General features: G+C 55.0%; 1 protein-coding gene across 8 annotated transcripts in view, besides 1 other annotated feature; it reads left to right on the forward strand.

Annotated features, from left to right (window-relative positions):
- Positions 1-18,353, forward strand: part of SORCS2 (sortilin related VPS10 domain containing receptor 2) — a 550,290-nt gene that overhangs the window by 29,604 nt on the left and 502,333 nt on the right. The gene's annotated exons all lie outside the window — the stretch shown is intronic.
- Positions 16,719-17,218: an enhancer, noted in NCBI's record as "H3K4me1 hESC enhancer chr4:7240587-7241086 (GRCh37/hg19 assembly coordinates)". NCBI's record gives its function as "activates a minimal SCP1, AML or CMV promoter by ChIP-STARR-seq in primed H9 embryonic stem cells {active_cell/tissue: H9 hESC(primed)}" and the evidence as "EXISTENCE:reporter gene assay evidence [ECO:0000049][PMID:30033119]".

An 18,353-nucleotide genomic window follows, 5' to 3' on the forward strand; every position in this document is an offset into this window, starting at 1 on the left:
GACCCAGCAGTCCCCTCCTAGGCATAAACCCCAGAGAGACGAAAACCCGTGTCTCTGCTGCAGCAAGATTCATGGTACCTAAAGGTGAGACAACCCAAATGTCCAGCAACAGACACGGATGAACAAAATGTGGCCCATCCACGTGGTAGAATATTATTCAGCCATGGACAGGAATGGAGCTCTGACACCTGATACGTGATGAACCTTGAAAACAGGACACTCAGTCAAAGAAGCCAGCCACGAACAGCCACATACTGTATGGCTGCATGTCTATGGAATGTCTAGAATAGAGACAGCCATAGGGACGGAAAGCAGGTCAGTGTTGCTTGGGACTGGCAGAGAGCGGGGCATGGGGGTGGTAGCTAACGGGCATGGTGATGAAGCACTCGTCTAAAATGGACTGGTGGTGTGTGCGGGGGTCTGTGAATATGCTGACAGCCACTGGCTTGGTGCACTGGCTGGCATGCGAATGAGATTCCAGTAGAGCTGTTTCAAGAGAAGGGTAGTGCGGCCGGGGCAGAGGGCTGGTGCAGGGAGGGAGGCCACGTGCTGTGGTCAGGCTTCCCAGGCTGTGGCAGGAGAGAGCGGGAGGATCTGGAAAGGGCAGGTGTAGGGAGGGCTGGGGCGTACAGATCTGTGTGGGGTGTGGGTGCTGGGCACGGCAGCTGTGGTCTCCCTGGGGTGGTCATGGGGCTGGCCTGGGGAGGGTTTTCTGCAGAGGAGCTGCAGGGAGGCTGGAAACCATTCCTCTTCTCCCTCCACTCCACCTTGACTCATTCACTCAAGAACACGCAAAGACTTCTTTGCTTTTTTCAGGCAGGCCCTGGCTGCGTCGGTGGAGGGAGGGCTCCTCTGCCTGGATCCTAACTGGACCCCAGGATGCTGAAATCCCAGACTTCCTGAGCCCTGAATTTGCCAAGATTTGTATTGTATTAAAAACAACAACCAACTGAGCAACAAAAAAACCCAGACTCGTGTTCTGATGAAGGACGGGACTCATACTCGTTTTAGATCTTGCAAGAGGAAAGGCCTAAGGAAAAAGAAACTGGACATGACCCACATTCTGATTCCTCACAGATACCAATGGCCAGCTTTTGGTGCCTTCTCATTGCATTTTTCTTCTGTGCAAAGAAAAGGACCTTAGTGTATATGCGCACACACACACACACACACACACTCACACACAGAGTTTGGAATTATTCTTTGTGCACCTAATGTTATATTGTATGCATTTTCCTACCTTGGTGAAAATCCTTTGGAAAGGACAGGTGGCCACACGGTCATTTCTTTATTTTTGTATCACTGTGTCCTTGGAATGATGCTAATTTTTACATTATAAATAATTATGCTGATGTGCATTAACCCAATTAATACCCTTGGATACAACTCTTTATCTGTGTGTCTGGTGGTTTCCTAGGATGAATTCTCTCTGAAATGAAGTCACAAGGTCAAAAGTCAGGAATGGGGCGTGTACTCAGTGCCCATACGGATGTTCTCTAGACATGTCCACCAAGACTCCCCAGAATCACAGCATGGCCCGTGTGTGCTTAAGCTCTCAGTGCAGGTGCCTCAGGGGCCTCCTGGTGCCTTCCTGGGAAGGGCTGGGCTTGGGAAGGGCATCTGGGAAGATGCCTGGTCTGGCCTGTGGCCCACACCTGTCGCCTGTGCAGTTATCCACCCCTGGAATCTGACCCTGCCTGCCTCATTCTGAAGTCCATGCTGTTAAGTGGCTGTTAAGTGCTGTTAAGGCCCAGAGTCAGTCCTCTGGGCCTCAGTTTTCTCGTCTGTTCAGAGGGATGACTGATACCTACCAGGCACAGAGTAGGAACTCAATGGCTGTTGCATATTATTAATTGTATTAGCAAATTAAAATAGCAATGCAGAGAGGGTGGGGCTGCTGAGTGAGCTGGGGGTCCCAGGGCTGGTGGGGGAAGGCTGTGTGGCCTGGCGTGCTGGTTTCCAGGGCCCCTCTAGGCACCGCAGCAGGATGCAGATCCAGATCCATCTGCTGGGAAGTCTCCAGGAAGCTTGGCTCTGCCCAGGTGGCTTGGGAACCTTGCAGGGCTGAGCCCCAGGGGGCTGAGCCAGGCTGGGGAAGGAAGGTCTGACAACATTTAATTTTCTCCTTGAAATCTGCCTCTAGCTTAATCCTCCTCAAGTGTGAAGACAAATGCACCATTAAGGCACCAAACAGGGAGGTGGAGTGGCTTTTTAATAATTTGCGATGAGTGTTAAGGGTGAGAGGAGGCGGGGCTGGGACTGCCACCCCTGGGAAGCTGCAGCAGCAGGCTTTGGCCAAGTCGTGTCCTCTGGTCTCAGAAACCTCGCCATCTGGCCTTTTGCTTTGGTCAGCTGCTGCTTCTGCCCACACCTGTGACCCATGGTGGTCCATGGCTGGGGGAGTGTATTAGGTGCTACACACTTTTAAATAACCAGATCTTATGAGAACTCACTTCCTGTACAGTGCAAAGGAGGGTGGCACTAAACCATTCATGAGAACTCCATCCCCGTGACCTCCCCCCAGGCCCCACCGCCAACACTGGGGAATACAGTGAGGCTTGGGTGGGGACAGAGTCAAACCATATCAAGGAGGAGGAGGTGTGGCACTGGGTGGGGATCAGGGGCCCCTGTGGACCTCCCACTCCCTCCGATCCTTCCCCTTCCAGGACAGTCCTGGGGCTTGGTCCTCTCTCATGAGCTCACTGGGGGCCGAACGGACCTGGAGGACCCTGAGCTTCATTAATTATGAGTTGTTTTTGCCAAGGACATTTCATCTGTGACATCTTTGCTTTGGTGTAAACAGACCGGTCTTCTCTCTACCTCATGGAGAGTGATGTATGCAATGTATGTTCCATAAAATGCTTCCAAGGGAGAGAGAAAGAGAATGTGATCCAATTATACAAAATATGTTGGCAGACTCCTATTGATCCTTCAAAACCCTAATGCAGTATTGCCTCCTCCATGTAGACTTTCTTGATTACCCTGACAGAGTTACAGAGTTACTCCCATCTTCCCCTACCCGTGCTGTGCTGCACACACATTTCTGCTTCAGGGGAGGTCTCAGGGAGCTTTTATTTATGGTGGGAACTGTGGGTACTGTGATCGTGGCTATAGTCATGGCTCCTGGATGCCTGCGTCCAGCCCACTGGACTGTGAACTGTGAGCGAAGGGACCAAGTCCTCTTCATCTTTGTGTGCTGTACCCAGCCCTGCTCTTGGCTCAGAGCAGACCGGAATCGTTCTCTGTTGAATGCAAAGGAGCACTGAGAACAGCATTTTGCGAAATCCGAAGCATGACAGAAATGTTTACTGCATCACCTCATTGAACTCTTCCTCTGGCTTCTCCTCTCTCTGTTGTTCTGAACCAGCATGGCACGGCCAACGCTTGATGATGGCTGCAGTCCTGGGAAGGGGCTGGGACCGGGGCTCACTGCTGCTCACTTTGTGGTTCAGGCCCAGCTGGGGGTTGGGGGTGATTTCCACTTGAGCTCCAGTGTGGTTGCTGCTAGACTGGGCTGGAGCTGGTGCACGGGGGCTGCATGGATGTCTCTATCCGCACCCTGTGAGCTGGCCCACCAGGCTGTGCAGACATCTCTCTCTCTCCTCTTGTGCTCTCGGGGCCCCTGTGGTGGTTCTCTGCTGTGGACCAGTTGGGGCTTCCTTCCAGCGTGGTGTCCGTACAGCAGTGGGACTGCTGCCATGAGGCCTGTGCTGTGGCGAGGGGGTTCCTGCAGAGAAGGCAGAGGCTGTGTGGCCTTTTGGGTCCCAGCCTTGGAAGCCACAGAGTATCACTTCCACTGTGAACCTGTCAGAAGCCTGTCTGGGTTCAAGGGGAGGCAACAAAGGCCCTGTCTCTCACTGAGAGCAATGTCAAAGCACTTGGGGCTGTGTTTGAACTCCGCCACCGTGAGAAAACGTGGCTCCGGAGGGTCTGGACCCCCAAAGCAGCCTCTATAGCCTGGGGGCCTCTGATCTCCAGGGATGGCTTTCCTTGCTGCTGGGAGGGCTGGAAGCTGCAATGCCACCACTGAGGGAGTGTCTATGGTGGCAGGCACCAGGCATGCATTACCTTTTCTGCTCCCAGACCTGGGAGGTGGCCTCACTGAGCCCCTTTGGGACTGAGGCTTGGAGAGGTATGCAGCCAGCCTGAGGTCACAAAGCCCAAGGAGCAGAGCCTGGATTGGAACCTGGGCCTGTCTGACCTCAAGCCTGGCCTTGCTGGACCTCTGCGTGTCCTTCCAGGGCAGGAGCTGATGGAGCCCTGTTGAACTGCAGTGTGTGCCCCATAGCTCACGGTCAGTGCCGTTCCGTTTGCTCGAGGGTTAAGTCCAGACGTCTGTGACGGCCGGGTGAGTGGGGGTTGGGGGGAATGTATGAGGGGACTCATCCGGAACAGGCGGCGGGCAGAGGGGCTGTTTTTTCCAGGCACACTAACACACGCCATGCAAGACAAAGAAAACCCCGGCCCCTTCCCCCGAGGCCACTAATCCAGACCGCCATCTGTCCCCAGCTTTCATAGGCCACCTCCCTCAGAGTCACCGCTGAGGTTAAGATGCAGTGGCCCTGCGGCGGCTCGGTGTGGAGCTGTCACTGTGCCAGAGCTCATGGGCAGACCCTGCTCCGTTGGTGGGGGATGGAAGGGGGGCACGCCTGCTCCCCAGGCCACATCTTCAAGCACCGCCGGGAAGCACCAGGGCGTGGCCTGTTTCTGTTTTTGTTTTTTCCCTTCTGGGTCTCCTCATCTCTGGGATCACACGCACAAATTGAATGATGCCTTGCTAGCAAGTGAGTTCCTCGATGCCGCCATGTGGCTGAAGGGCAGTGGGGCCATCCCTGATGGTGCCACCGCGGTAGCAGCTGTGACCAGCACCCCTCACATTTCATCCACACCAGCACACCTGCTCTTATGCACCTGTGGGTACTCTTATGCACCTGTGGGTACTCTTACGCACTTGTGGGTACTCTTATGCACTTGTGCGTGCTCACACACATGCAGGAGGCCCTGCGGGACAGGAAGGAACATCAGGCTTGAGCAATGCTGGGTTGGAACCCAGAGGCCAGCAGTGCTTCAGGCCTCTCGAGACCTGCCAGGATAGGCTCCAGCCTGGCTCCACACCCCCACTTGCAGCCTGAGGCCTGGCTGAGGTCTGTGTTTCCCTCGCATCTGTGCTTATCACCGCTGGCCCTGGGTTCCCCTTTCCTGTGCTCTGGCTCTGATCCTCTCTGCATTAACCGAGGCGAGGGAGCCGCTTTCTTCTCGACTTCTCCAGAAAACTGCTGAGCGCCTGCTCCAGAGCAGACGTAGCCCTCATCACGTCCTCCACAGCCTCCACAGCAGCCTGCAGGTTGTGATCCTGTGCTCTTCTGGGGCCTTGTGGGTGAGGTGGGCTTTCTTGAGATTTGGTGGAAGGTGGCAGGGGGCACGTTGCATCCCTTCCAGGCAGACACACCTGGCGCCCCTCTGTGTGGTGGCCTGGGGTGAAGAGTTCCCTCCAGCCCCATTGCCAGGGAGTCGTTTCCCAGCCTCACCCACCGCGCTGCTTCCTCCCTCCTTCCTCGCCTTTCACCCCTCTCTCCTGTTTCTTCTCCCCAGTCCCAAGAGCAGTGAAACCAAACCCTCTGGGTCCTCAGGCAGAGCGGCTAAACGCAGTTTTGTGGCTGTGGTGCCTGCTGTCCCCTCTTCCAAAATCTTCCTGTTGGGGTTTTCCTAGAGGAGGGCAGCTCCCTCCCTGGAGGTGCGGTGGGCTCAGGGTGCCGGGGAGGGCATGGACACCTGCTTTCTCCTTCTCTGGGGCTCCTCATCCAGCTGTGAGGCAGGGGGTGGCGGGAGCTGAGGATGACTGAACGGGAGCAAGCGGGAGCTCATGGGTGGCATTTCTTGGCCACAGTGTCCTTTGCCTGGGCTGCTGTGACAAAGGACTGCAGGCTGGGGGCTTCCACAGCAGAGGCTGATTCTTCACAGTCCTGGAGGCTGGAAGCTAAGACAAGATGTAGGCAGGGTTGGTTTTCTTCCGAGGCCCCGCTCCTTGGCTCGCAGATGCTGTCTTCTCCCGGCATCCTCGTATGTGCCTGTGTCCTAATCTCCTCTTCCTGTGAAGATACCAGTCACGTTGGGTCAGGGCCCATTCTGACCACCTTCTTTTAAAGGTCCTGTCTCCAAATAAATACAGACGCATCCTGGGGTGCAGGGTGTTAACTAGGGCTTCAACAGGTGGGTTTTGAGGGGACACAGTTCAACATGTAACAGTCACCTGCATGTGTCCGGTGCTGTGGGGAGGCCTAGAAGCAGAATCTCAGCAAGGGTGGATGAGGTGCGGATTCCCTCTCCAGTCTCTACTGAGCCTAAAACTTGGCATATTCCTTGCCTTCTGCGTCCTCTCTTGAAGATGAAGGTGATCGTCCTGCCTACACAGGCTCACGGTGAGAATTATGCAGAGGACATGGACTTGGCCTGGCCCCTGCATGGTGAGGAGTGGAGAAGGGGCCATCTCCAGGTCCAGCTGTGGGAGCTGAGGGCACTCAGGACCTGATCCACTCCTGGATCCACTTCAGGACCCGCAGCTTCTCTGTGGTCAGGGCTTGGGGCCTACGACTCTGTCCAGCTGCTCTGGGGCTGCTGTGGCCACAGGCATGTGCTGGGTGGCTGGGCCCACCCTCTGGGACCTTCAGTCCATGCGACCAGGGCCACCATCTAAAACAGGGGAGTGCCCCATGGTGTTCCTCCATGGCATCAGCAGCCGGGCTGGTGCCCCCTGGATGGACTGCATGGGATCCCAGTCCTGCTGGCCAGTCCAGGGCTGGAAGGGCCCATTCCCGTGGCCAGGCCGTCCCGTCCCTGCCCCGAGTGGACTTGCGTGAGGCCTGCCGCGCCTTGCTCTGCTTCGTGGCCTGGTCTGTGTTGAGGGGTCCCCGTGCACCCAGGCCCCTTTGATTTTGTTCCTCTTGCTATTCCCTGGGCCCTGTTCTGGGTCTGCCTGTGAGGGTGTCCTTTCTACTTTTGGGTATAGGGGTAGCTTGCCGTGCTCGGAACCCACAGGCAGGAGCCTCTCCTCCAAGGGTGGCCCCATCTCTGCATACCCTGTTTCCTCCCCCAGAACATCTCCTTCCCCCATAATTCCCACACAGTGAAAGCTTTCCAACTCTGCCATGCCATGACCCCCTAAAGAATGTCCCTGCCACCAGCTGACAGGAGCCCCTCTCCCTGGGAGGATCTCGGTGCCAATTTCTTAGCACCCGGGACTGAGAATCAAGAGGGTCTAAGGACTCCATCCTCTTCCCTTGCTCCAAGGGCTCTAGAACCTTTCCAGAAAGAGAGCCTCTGTCTTGTAAAGTTGGCCTGCCTTCCCAGGGAGAGTCCACGCTGGAGAGCACCCAGGCTTCCAGCACAGATCGTCTGAATTTCCTCCTTCCGGAGCTTGCCTGGAATCCCTCCTGTCATGATCTGGACCAAACCTTACTTGGCTCATGCCCAGGGCATAGAGGGCTGAGGTCACTCCGAGGCTGAAAAAGGGCCTAAGAGCTTCTGTCACGGTCGTGGGTGTTCCAGGGTCGTGGGTGTTAGATCTGCATGGTGTTCCGTGGTCAAGTCTTCGAGTCTCTGGGCAGGAGCAGTGTCATGTGCTCATGTATGAAGGAGATGAAGATGGTCCAGTCTTCCAGTGTCTGGGCAGGAGCAGTGTCATGCTCGTGTATGAAGGAGATGAAGATGGTCAAGTCTTCGAGTGTCTGGGCAGGAGCAGTGTGGTGTGCTCATGTATGAAGGAGATGAAGATGGTCAAGTCTTCGAGTCTCTGGGCAGGAGCAGTGTCATGTGCTCATGTATGAAGGAGATGAAGATGGTCAAGTCTTCGAGTCTCTGGGCAGGAGCAGTGTCATGTGCTCATGTATGAAGGAGATGAAGTTGGTCAAGTCTTCGAGTCTCTGGGCAGGAGCAGTGTCATGTGCTCATGTATGAAGGAGATGAAGATGGTCAAGTCTTCCAGTGTCTGGGCAGGAGTAGTGTCATGTGCTCATGTATGAAGGAGATGAAGATGGTCAAGTCTTTGAGTCTCTGGGCCGGAGCAGTGTCTGGAGCAGTGTCATGTGCTCATGTATGAAGGAGATGAAGATGGTCAAGTCTTCTAGTCGCTGGGCAGGAGCAGTGTCATGTGCTCATGTATGAAGGAGATGAAGATGGTCAAGTCTTCCAGTGTCTGGGCAGGACTAGTGTCATGTGCTCATGTATGAAGGAGATGAAGATGGTCAAGTCTTTGAGTCTCTGGGCCGGAGCAGTGTCTGAAGCAGTGTCATTTGCTCATGCATGAAGGAGATGAAGATGGTCAAGTCTTCGAGTCTCTGGGCAGGAGCAGTGTCATGTGCTCATGTATGAAGGAGATGAAGATGGTCAAGTCTTCCAGTGTCTGGGCAGGAGTAGTGTCATGTGCTCATGTATGAAGGAGATGAAGATGGTCAAGTCTTTGAGTCTCTGGGCCGGAGCAGTGTCTGGAGCAGTGTCATGTGCTCATGTATGAAGGAGATGAAGATGGTCAAGTCTTCGAGTCTCTGGGCAGGAGCAGTGTCATGTGCTCATGTATGAAGGAGATGAAGATGGTCAAGTCTTTGAGTCTCTGGGCAGGAGCAGTGTGATGTGCTCATGTATGATGGAGATGAAGATGGTAAAGTCTTCGAGTGTCTGGGCAGGAGCAGTGTGGTGTGCTCATGTATGAAGGAGATGAAGATGGTCAAGCCTTCGAGTCTCTGGGCAGGAGCAGTGTCATGTGCTCTTGTATGAAGGAGATGAAGACACCCAGTGCATTGGTCAGGGTTCTCCAGAGAAACAGAGCCAGTAGGAAGTGTGTGTCTAGATCTCTATCTGTATCTATATCCATATCCATATCCATATCCATATCTGTATCTGTCTATATCTAGAGATTTTAATGTATATATTTTCATATCTATGACAGAGGTTTGTTATAAGGAACTGGCTCACATAAAGATGGAGGCTGGCAGGTCCAGAATCTGCAAAGCCAATGTCCCAGTTTGATCTGAAGGCTGGCAGGCTGCTGTAGAGCCTGGAAGAGCTGATGCTCCAGGTTGAAGGCTGTCAGCAAGAGAATTCTCTTTTAATTGGGGGGAGGGTCAGCTTTGTCTTCTATTCAGACCTTTAACTGATTGGATGAGGCTGGCCTGCATTGTGGAGGGCAATGTGCTTCACTCAGTCTTCTGATGTATACATTAATCTCATTCAAATACACCCCTGCAGAAATACCCAGAATAATGTTTGACCAAATATCTGGGCACCCCATGGCCCAGTCAAGTTGGCACATGAAATTAACCATCACACCTGGTAATACCATCCACCCATCCACCCATCACTCATCCGTTTGTCTGCATCTGTCCATCCATCCATCCATCCATTCATCCATCCATCCATCCATCCACTCATTTGTTCATTCACTTAGCAAATGTTTATGGAACTCTACACTGTGTGGTGCACTGGGGACCCCCAGATGAACGGGGCAGCCTACTGAAGCAGAAAGTGGACCATCCTGCACCAGGGGCCAGGCAGCATCCGGTGGGGACACAGAGGAGAGGGTCGTTCTTTTTGTGGGGTAAGATTTGGGAAGACTTCATGATGGAGGTGGCCTTTGCACTTTAGGAATGAATGTGACTGCCATGGTGTGGGTGGTCAGCAGAGGAGGCATTCCAGACTGAGGGCACGAGGACAAGGATATAAGTGTGGCATCTGGGGGGATTGGGAGAGACCCAGGCTCTCGGGGTGGGGATGAGACTGGGGTGGGGCTTGGGCTGGATCATGGAGGGTCACTCACAGGGTGCACTTGGGTGCTGCTGGAGATGCAGATGTCCTGGCCCATCCTGGAGCTGTGTTCTGACAAGGGCCCCGTGATTGCTGAGGATGCTGACATCTGGGCAGCGGAGCTGAGATGACGGAGTTGCGGATGGCTTCTGCGGAGGGTGGTGGGAGAGTCACTGTCTTGCATAGCTTGGGGCACAGCGTGGAGCAGGATTGGGGGAATGGAGGCTGCGGGCCCTGGGGGAAGCATGGGCTGTGGGAGTAGCCTAGGGGAGCAGTGGGGAGGCCTGGGCTTTGGCAGGATGGATGAGGGGAAAGCTGCCTGGTGGCCAGGAGGAAGGGGGACACCCCAGTGACCCTGTGGCCTTTTCCTGGGGAGGCTGCTGAGGTCTGAGCCAGCCCAGTGCCTGTTCCCTGTGGGCTCTGCTCCTGGTGCTGCCAGACTCCTAGGACCCAGGGCCCGGCGCCTGGACGCCGGAGAGCGCTAGTTAGCGAGCAAGGCATGGTATGCCAGCCTCATTATGTCACCCCCCACGGCAGCCCAGGATGGCGGATTTATTCTTTTCATCATCTCTACAGCCCCCTGGGGTTCTGGACCCAAGCTCTTAATTCGCTTTCCTGCCAAGCCTCGTGGTCCGTGACCTTTAGACTCCCGCTCAGCTCCTACATTTCAATCTGAGCCCTCGGTGCTGGGGCTTTGCATAATGTGGGGGCTCCTGCCCGCGCCAGCTGTGCCATTTCTGTGAGGGATGCCACACTGTGTCGATGCGTGCCCCTCCCGCACCCTGCTGGGAGCTGCCCTGGGCCCCCTCAGTAGGCAGCGACACTGTGGGTCCCACTCTGTGGACAGGGATGCCATGGGGGTGCCCAGGGCACCCGGTTCAATTCTGCCCAACAGACTGTCATGTGTCAGCCTCTGGGGGCCGAGCATGGTCTCAAAGTCAAGATTTGGTAAGGCACTGGGGGACCCCCACCCTTGGGGAGTGTTTGGTCCCATAGAGACACTGCTGCACTGTCAGAGACAAGGTGTCAGTGATGGGCGCAGTGTAGGATGGCCATCACCAGAGCTCCCTGCTCCTCTGCACTAGGAACCTCCCAGAGGCTTTCTGGGGCATGGGTCAGCTGAGCCCAGGAGTCAGGCTTCGGCACCCGCATGTTCAACTACTGCCTTCCTGATGGAGGAGGCTGGGCTGGGCACAGGCGAGTCCCCAAGGTACCCGAGGGAGGCCAGGTACTGTCACTGCAGGCAGCAGGAACGGCACGGCAGAGGGAGCCTTCCAGAGCAGGGGGAGGCGTCGGCCAGCCCTGAGAACTAGGAAGGGTGGTGTGGGACCCAGACACCAACTGTGGACTATGCCTGCAGAAGCCACGGTGGGGACAGGAGCACATCCAGGGTGTCATCATGATGACGTCTCCTGGCCACCGCTGAGCACCTGCTCCAGGGCAGACGTAGCCCTCATCACGTCCTCCACAGCCTCCACAGCAGCCCGCAGGTTGCCATCCTGTTTCCATCCAGGGGCCCGGACACTGGGCCACAGTGCAGTACAGACCCTCGCTGGGCTCAGGGTGAGCAGACACTTGCTGGGTTCAGGGTGAGCAGACACTGGCAGCTGTGGTGGTGGGTGGACGGGGTGGGTGCTGGGACGAGGACTCAGGAATGAGGCTGGCGGTCACCGTGGAGTGCAGCGCTTCTCAGGTGGGACGTTCTAAGGTCCCCAGGTAATACTGGCCTGGTCCCCCGTCTGATGCTGCAGGGTGGACTTCTGAGTGTCAGAGCCAGGCCATCCTGCATCTGAGTCCTGTCTCTGGCTCTGCCCACCTGGGCCTCAGGCGAGCCTGTACTCCTGCACGCCTCAGTTTTCCTGTCTGTAAAATGGGTGCCGTGGTGCAAACATCAGAGGGTGGTGGGGAGGAGTCTGAGGTTTGCACTTGTAATACACTGTCCTGTCCGCTATCCCATCCCCTTCTCTGGTCTCAGTTTCCGCATCTGTAAAAGGAGGCTGTTGGGCTCAGGAGCAAGATGGAAAGGGGGTGGGGGAGGACCGTATCCCCGAGCCTCTCCAGGGAGCCCATGCATCTGTGCAGGCATAGGGGTTAATGGACCACCCACTCCCACCGAGCCCTTGATCCTGGCAGCCCCATCTCCCCAGGTGCTGGAGTTACTAGGACAAGGACCTTGATCCCCCACCAGAAAGATGCTTGGGATTTGGGCTGTCATCACAGTGGCAGGTTCTTCCCTCGCCCTGAAATGTATTGATTCTTTTGATACCTTGATTTCGAGATGTGCTGGGTCTGAGCTGCCTGGGGCCGAGAATAGTAGCGTGGGCTTTGCAGTTGTGGGGACACTGCCTTCTCCACCCTCCAGCTGCCAGCAGGCCTGTTCTGCTGCTGCAGAAGCAAGGGTGCTGAGTTCTCCCAGAAGTTTCCAGTCATTGCCATGCTATTGGTCTTTCATTACTTTTAGGAAGGAAGTATTACTTTGAATTGCATCCTGTGCTGTGCAAGGGTTGTTGGCCCAAGGACTTCCAGGAACACTCTGTGGCCCAGTGACCCAGCATGGTGGCCTCTCTGGGGTATCACTGGGCGGCCGACGTGGCCACATAGCCCAGGGCTGGGAGGCTGATGCTCTCGCCCTTGGGTCCCTGAGCTTGGAGGAGATCCAGCTTCAGTTCCAGTCCTGGGCTCTGCAGGTCTAGGCGGCCTCCCTGGCCATTGTCCTCTAGGATCTGTCTCCTTGGCCAGCTCCCAGCAGCTCACGTAGGCTTCTGTCTTTGCTGTCACGGTGCCTGGCATACAGTAAGAGCTTAGCACATGCTTGGAGGACTCTGCTGTTCTTAGGCCCTGACAGCGCAGCCTGCCACCCTCTCCAGGAGCCTGATGATGGCTGCCCCAGGCTGTGCCCCTCCAGGCAGCCTGTCCACGGCTGCTGCAGTTCAGGGGACAGACTCAGGGGCAGGCAGTGCTGGGGCCAGGAGGCCGGGGAAGGCCTCGCCGAGGAGACAGGGGCTAGGCTGGGCCTGAAGTCTTGTGGAGTGCGTGGCAGGGGAACTTAGGCCTGGGGAAGGCAGAGCAGGAGCGAGTTGGGCACAGGGTGGAAACTGAGGCTGAGCATCTGGAGCTGGGCTCTGCGTTGCATCCCGTGAGGGTCTGAACTCTGTGTCTATCTGGCGTTCTCCAGTGATTTCCCCTCCTGGAGCCTCGGTGTCCTTGCCGGTGAATGGTACTAACAGCAGATAGGCGGGAGGTGGCGAGCACACAGCACTGTGCCGGCTTGCATGAGGGCGCCTTGTGCAGCCGCACCAGTTAGTACCCCACCCTTCTGCTGCCCGCGCCAGGCTCAGCTGAGGCAGGGAAACTGGGCGTGGCCTCATCGCCAGGACCCTCCTTCTTAGGCAGCCTCTACCTTCATCCCCACAGCAGATCTTTGGGGCAGGAACTGGTAAGACCCTCATTTTCTAGAGCAAGAAATGGAGGCTCAGAGAGGCATGGCCACTGGCCTGAGGTCACACAGAGGGTCCAATCCTGGTCCCCTTAGCCTTGAGTGACTGTGTCTTGACTGTAGGCTACCCAGGTTTCTGCGACTGCAGAGAACACAGAGCGGGTGGATGGGGAGCCCCCAGAGGTGATTAGCGGGGAGGTGTTTGTGGCCTGGCCCCTGAGGGGTGGCTTCCTGGGAAGGGGGTGATAGGCACTAGGGTAGAGCGCCCTGTGTACTTGGGGCCCATTCTGGCTGTTTGTGTGGCCGTTGAGAGGCCAGGCCTTGATTGTCAGAGGGGACTGATTGTGCTGCCTGAGTCTATCCATGCCCACTCTGATGAGCACTTAGTGGGCAGAGAGGCTTGGAAGAGCAGGCGAGTGCTGGTTCCGTTTGCTGCAAAGGTGAGATGCCTCCCTTCTGGATTCCCGGGCAGCTTATCGTGGCAGGCGATGTTGCTAGCGCTGCAATTCCATTTAGACAGGTGTGAGCACCCGTGAAACTCTAGGTGCGAGTGTAAGGGTTGCCAAGCCTTGAAAGAGTCTCCACGCACTCATAAATCTTTACTAGATGCTGAAGATGGAGCAGAAAACAAAAAAGTTGAAAATCCCTGCCTGCTGGCATTCTAGTGGGGAGGAGGCATGTAATAGCTTCTGATGGGTAAACACGTGCCTGTTGGCCTTCAGACACTTGCACGTATGGACGTTCATGTGGGTACCTATACCTGCACAGAAATGCATTCATGTATGTGAGTGTGAAAAGGAGAAAATAAATACAGAAGGGGAATATGAAGTGTCTGGAAATGGAGGAGCTTGGCGTTTTAGGTAGGGTGGCCAGAGGAGGTCTCACTGCAGGTGACTTTTGAGAGATTCTGGGAGGGAAGTGAGGGCAGGAGCCACGTGGGTATCTGAGGCCTGAGCATTCCAGGCAGCAGAACGGCCAGTGCAGGGGCCCTGGGGCAGGAGTGTGTTGCCAGGCTGAGGACTGGGAGTGTGTCTATTGGCAGCAGGAGAGTGAGGGGAGTCTGAGAGTCACGGGAGAAAAGACAGGAGGTGCTGGGGCAGGAGGGGTTGATGGCGTAGGTGAGGGGCATCGGAGAGAATATTCTCTGCCGCTGTGCTGTGTTGCTGCCTAGTAGAGCCACTGTTACCGGTTTCTTACCATGGTTTTATTATTTATTAATTATTTTTTGAGGTGGAGTCTCGCTCTGTCACCCAGGCTGGAGTGCAGTGGCACAATCTCGGCTCACTACAACTTCTGCCTCCTGGGTTTAAGCGATTCTCCTTCCTCAGCCTCCTGAGTAGCTGGGACTACAGGCACGTGCCACCATGCCTGGCTAATTTTTGTATTTTATTAGAGACAGGGTTTCACCATGTTGGCCAGGCTGGTCTCGAACTCCTCACCTCAGGTGATCTGCCCACTTCGGCCTCCCAAAGTGCTGGGATTGCAGGCCTGAGCCACCATGCCCAGTCATTTTTATTGTTTTAATGCTGTCTCATCTCACAGGAGAAACTTCTGTTATTTTCCAGATGGAGACCTGGCCTTGGGGGAGTCCCAGGGCTCTGCTGAGCCCACCTGGGAAAGACTGGTCGGGTGGGGCTCTGAGGCAGCCATCCTGAGATGCTGGGCCTCTGTGCCAGCGCACATGGTCACTGGCAGCTATTTTTAGTTCCTGGCAGTGGTGCAGGAGGAGTTTGGGGCCTCAAGTCCGGCCGAGAACAGAAATTGGAATGTGAAGTTTCTGACAAGCAGCAGATAACATGGGCAATTTTCATCTTCTTCTTTAGTAAATCCAACTTTAACAAAATTGATTGCAATAAAAATAGACAGCCTTTTCAAGATGCCCAGGAAAACCTCCTAAGCCAAAGGGATTCCTGCTGAAAACAATCTTAACTTGTTATTTGAAGAAAGGCTTTATGCTCCTGGTGGCCTTCTGGTCTGTGTCCGCTGGGCTGCTGTTTTTAGAAGAGACCCCTCTTGGCTGCTGGTCTCAGGTGGCCACAGTGACCCACAGTGGCTCCTCCCAAGGGGACCCTGTTCACATCCTTCTCAATATAGTTGCAGCCAGGGAGTGAACCCTGGGCCGCAAGACTAGGCACTGACTCTAGCATTTAATACTTTTATTTATCTATCTATTTATTTATTTATTCAGCATCTTTTGAAAAGGACCTATTATGGACCAGGTATTGAGCTTGCTGCAACGGGTGCCTTATTGAGGAAAGCAGACGGGATTCTATGTCCTGAAATGTTAAGTCTTATGTTTCAGCCTCTCTGGGCCTCTGTTATCCCATCTATAAAGTGGGAATAATAATACCCAGTGGGGAGGGCCATGAGTTTACGTCAGATCCTGATTGACAAAGCTCTTTGGAACAGGCAGAACGATGGGCCCAAGGAGGGGAGTTTCGTTTTCTCCTTCTGCTTGACATACTCTATTGTGGATGTTTTTTAGAGTGTGATTTCTCTAGGATTTGTACCATGATCCATCTGAAATGTGTGTGCCGTTTTCCTTTTGCTTCTAAATTAGAGAACTATCAAGGAGCATGGTGCCAGAGTGCTCAGGAGTTCTTGGGATACCAGTGGACTGTGGGCCAGGGGTGCTGTTGGATGGCTGTCATCTGCAATGTGAAGTGCATCTTCTTTCGGAAACAATGTTCTTTCCGATGCGCTGGCAAGAGGGAGACAGCATTCTATTTGACTCATGGTGGGAATGAAGAGGCCACGTTTGCAGAGGCCGAATGACATGACTGTAATCCAACTCTTCCATGAACCAGATGTACTCAAAAGAATAAACAATGATTTTATTAATTTTGGATGCTGGTGCTTGAGGAAAAACAGATTTAATTAGATTTAATTAGAAGAGGCTGGGGAGGTAGAGGGAGTCTGGGGGGGGTTGCTGGTACTGCATACAGCTTTGTGTGTTGCTAATGATGCTTTTTGCTGTGCAGAAAGTCAAATCCAGACTGAGGCTGTTGTTAAATTTTTTTTAAGGTATAGCAGCCATGCTGCTGGTAGGGCTCCTAGGTCCTTGCCTAGCTAGGAAGATGGCTGGTAGCAGCCTTAAGCCAGACAGTTCTCACTGGTCACTGGGTGGCGCTGTGAGCTCAGAGCAGCTTGGTTGCTCTCAGGAGTGAGGGGCCTGTGTGCGTGTGCTCACGTGTGTGCATATATGTGTGTGCCTGTGTGTGTGTGCAAGTGGCATCAGTGGGGATGGTGGAAGCCAGGCCTGCACCCTCACGTGGTTGTGTTTGTGTTAATCTGTGGTGTGATTAGGAGCGTGAGCTGCTGCCCTGCGTGTGTCTGGGTTTGAATCCAGCTCCTCCTGTCACTAGCTTGGTGCTTCTGTTTTCGCCTCTGCTCCCTCTCTGGAGTCTGTGGCTGACCCCTGTCCGCCAGCTCCTGGTGCACACGGCCTCCCTGGGTTGGGCTGGGCCAGTGAGCCCTCTGAGGTCTGTCCCGGCCATGTGGCTGTGGCACTCTTTACCACTGCTGGCCTGTCACCCCCATCACCCCTGTGCCCTCGCTGCAGCCTCTTCATCTGGGCCATCCGTGGCTGCATCTGCCCCAGCAGCTCCACCACTGGGAGCACTAGGCATGGCCCACGTCCCTGTGGAGTTCAGCAGGGAGCTGGGCACAGCACTGGACTCAGCAGGAGACTCCCCCGTCCTCTTGGCCTCTGTGGCTCCTTCCTGTGCTCCCCAGAGGCTCCTTCAAAGTCCCTGTCCCTCCTTCCTCCCCACTGCCCTCTGCTCCTGCCACTCTCTGCAGAAGGTTCCTTTGTGCCCAGGATGCTGCTATCAGTTGAAGGGGGACCTCCTCCTCACTCACGGGCTGCCCGTGGCTATGTTGGCAGCTTCTGAGCTTCTGCAGAAAGGCTGGGGCCCAGCACCGAGGGATCTGGGGCAGGGCTGTGGCCGGGAGGGCCCCCGACCTCCTTTGGACTGCCAGGAGCAGCTCCCCTGCTGGTCTCTATACCTGGTTGGAGTCCCCGTGGCCGGGACAGTGGCTCCAATAACCACGCTCAGCGGCCCTCCTCTTCCTCTCTCTCTTGCTTTCCTGGAGGGCTTCAGTTTTCTTTTTTGAATCTTCCTGGTCCCAGACCCTTCCCTGGGTGAAAGCTACTGTCACCAGGCTGCTGACTGCTGACTGTGAGCCTGGGATCTGGAGAAGGGCCTTAGGGAGGGCTGGTTTGTTTGCTAAAACAGCCCCTGGGGAGCTGGGGCTGGGCCCGGCTGGGTCGCTGGGCGAGTCTCGCACTTGGCCCCCAGGATAGGCCTCTTATGGGTCATTTCCTTCTTGTAAAGCAAAAAGCAGGGGTTCTGGCCGAAAAGTTCTGAAAAGACCACTTTTGCCCTTTCGGATGTTAGGGAAGTGAATAAAAGAGAAAAGAACTAACTCTTTGATTTCTTTATCTTTGAAGATAAAAGCCCAAGAATTTGTCAATGAGGGTGAACAGCCCAGAGCTGCCTTCATCTTTGTTGAAACTGCTTTGGGGAAGGTGGACGTTGTTCCTGGAAGGGTCGGAATCTTGTGCCGTCTGTTTGGCGAGCACAGCCCTGAGTGTCTCGTGGTGGCTTCTTGTCTGTGGGGAGCACAGGAAAGCTCTGCTCTCCACAGAAGGGAATCTGAGCTTCCTCACTGTAGACCCGGTTTCTAATTTCAGCTCTTGCCCTTCAAAGCTGGGGCCTGGGAGAGTCCACCTGACGTTGTTGGGCCTCCGTGTTCTGGGCTGTGATGACCCCGGCCCCACGGGGCTGTCGTGATCCCCGAAGGAGATGGTGTCAGGGGAGCTTGCTGCAGGGGCAGAGAACAAAACACCAGGTACCTGCGGGTGTTGCTTGCACGTACCACCTTGTCACCTCCTCCGGAAGAAGAGAGAAGCTGAGAACCCTGCTGAGCTTTGTTCTTATCAGGTTTTACTTCTGTAAAAAATGTTTCACCAGCAAATTACCTCGATGAGTCCTTCCTGGGGATTTGTAATTTGTTTGATACGTAACGCGGGGCCATCCAGGGTGTCAGCTGGAATGAAAGATACACTCTAATTTGCCGGGGAGCTTGGAGGCTGGAGTGATGATAATTAGAAGTGATT

This window comes from Homo sapiens, chromosome 4 (assembly GCF_000001405.40).
Source record: "Homo sapiens chromosome 4, GRCh38.p14 Primary Assembly".
Classification (NCBI taxonomy): domain Eukaryota; kingdom Metazoa; phylum Chordata; class Mammalia; order Primates; family Hominidae; genus Homo; species Homo sapiens.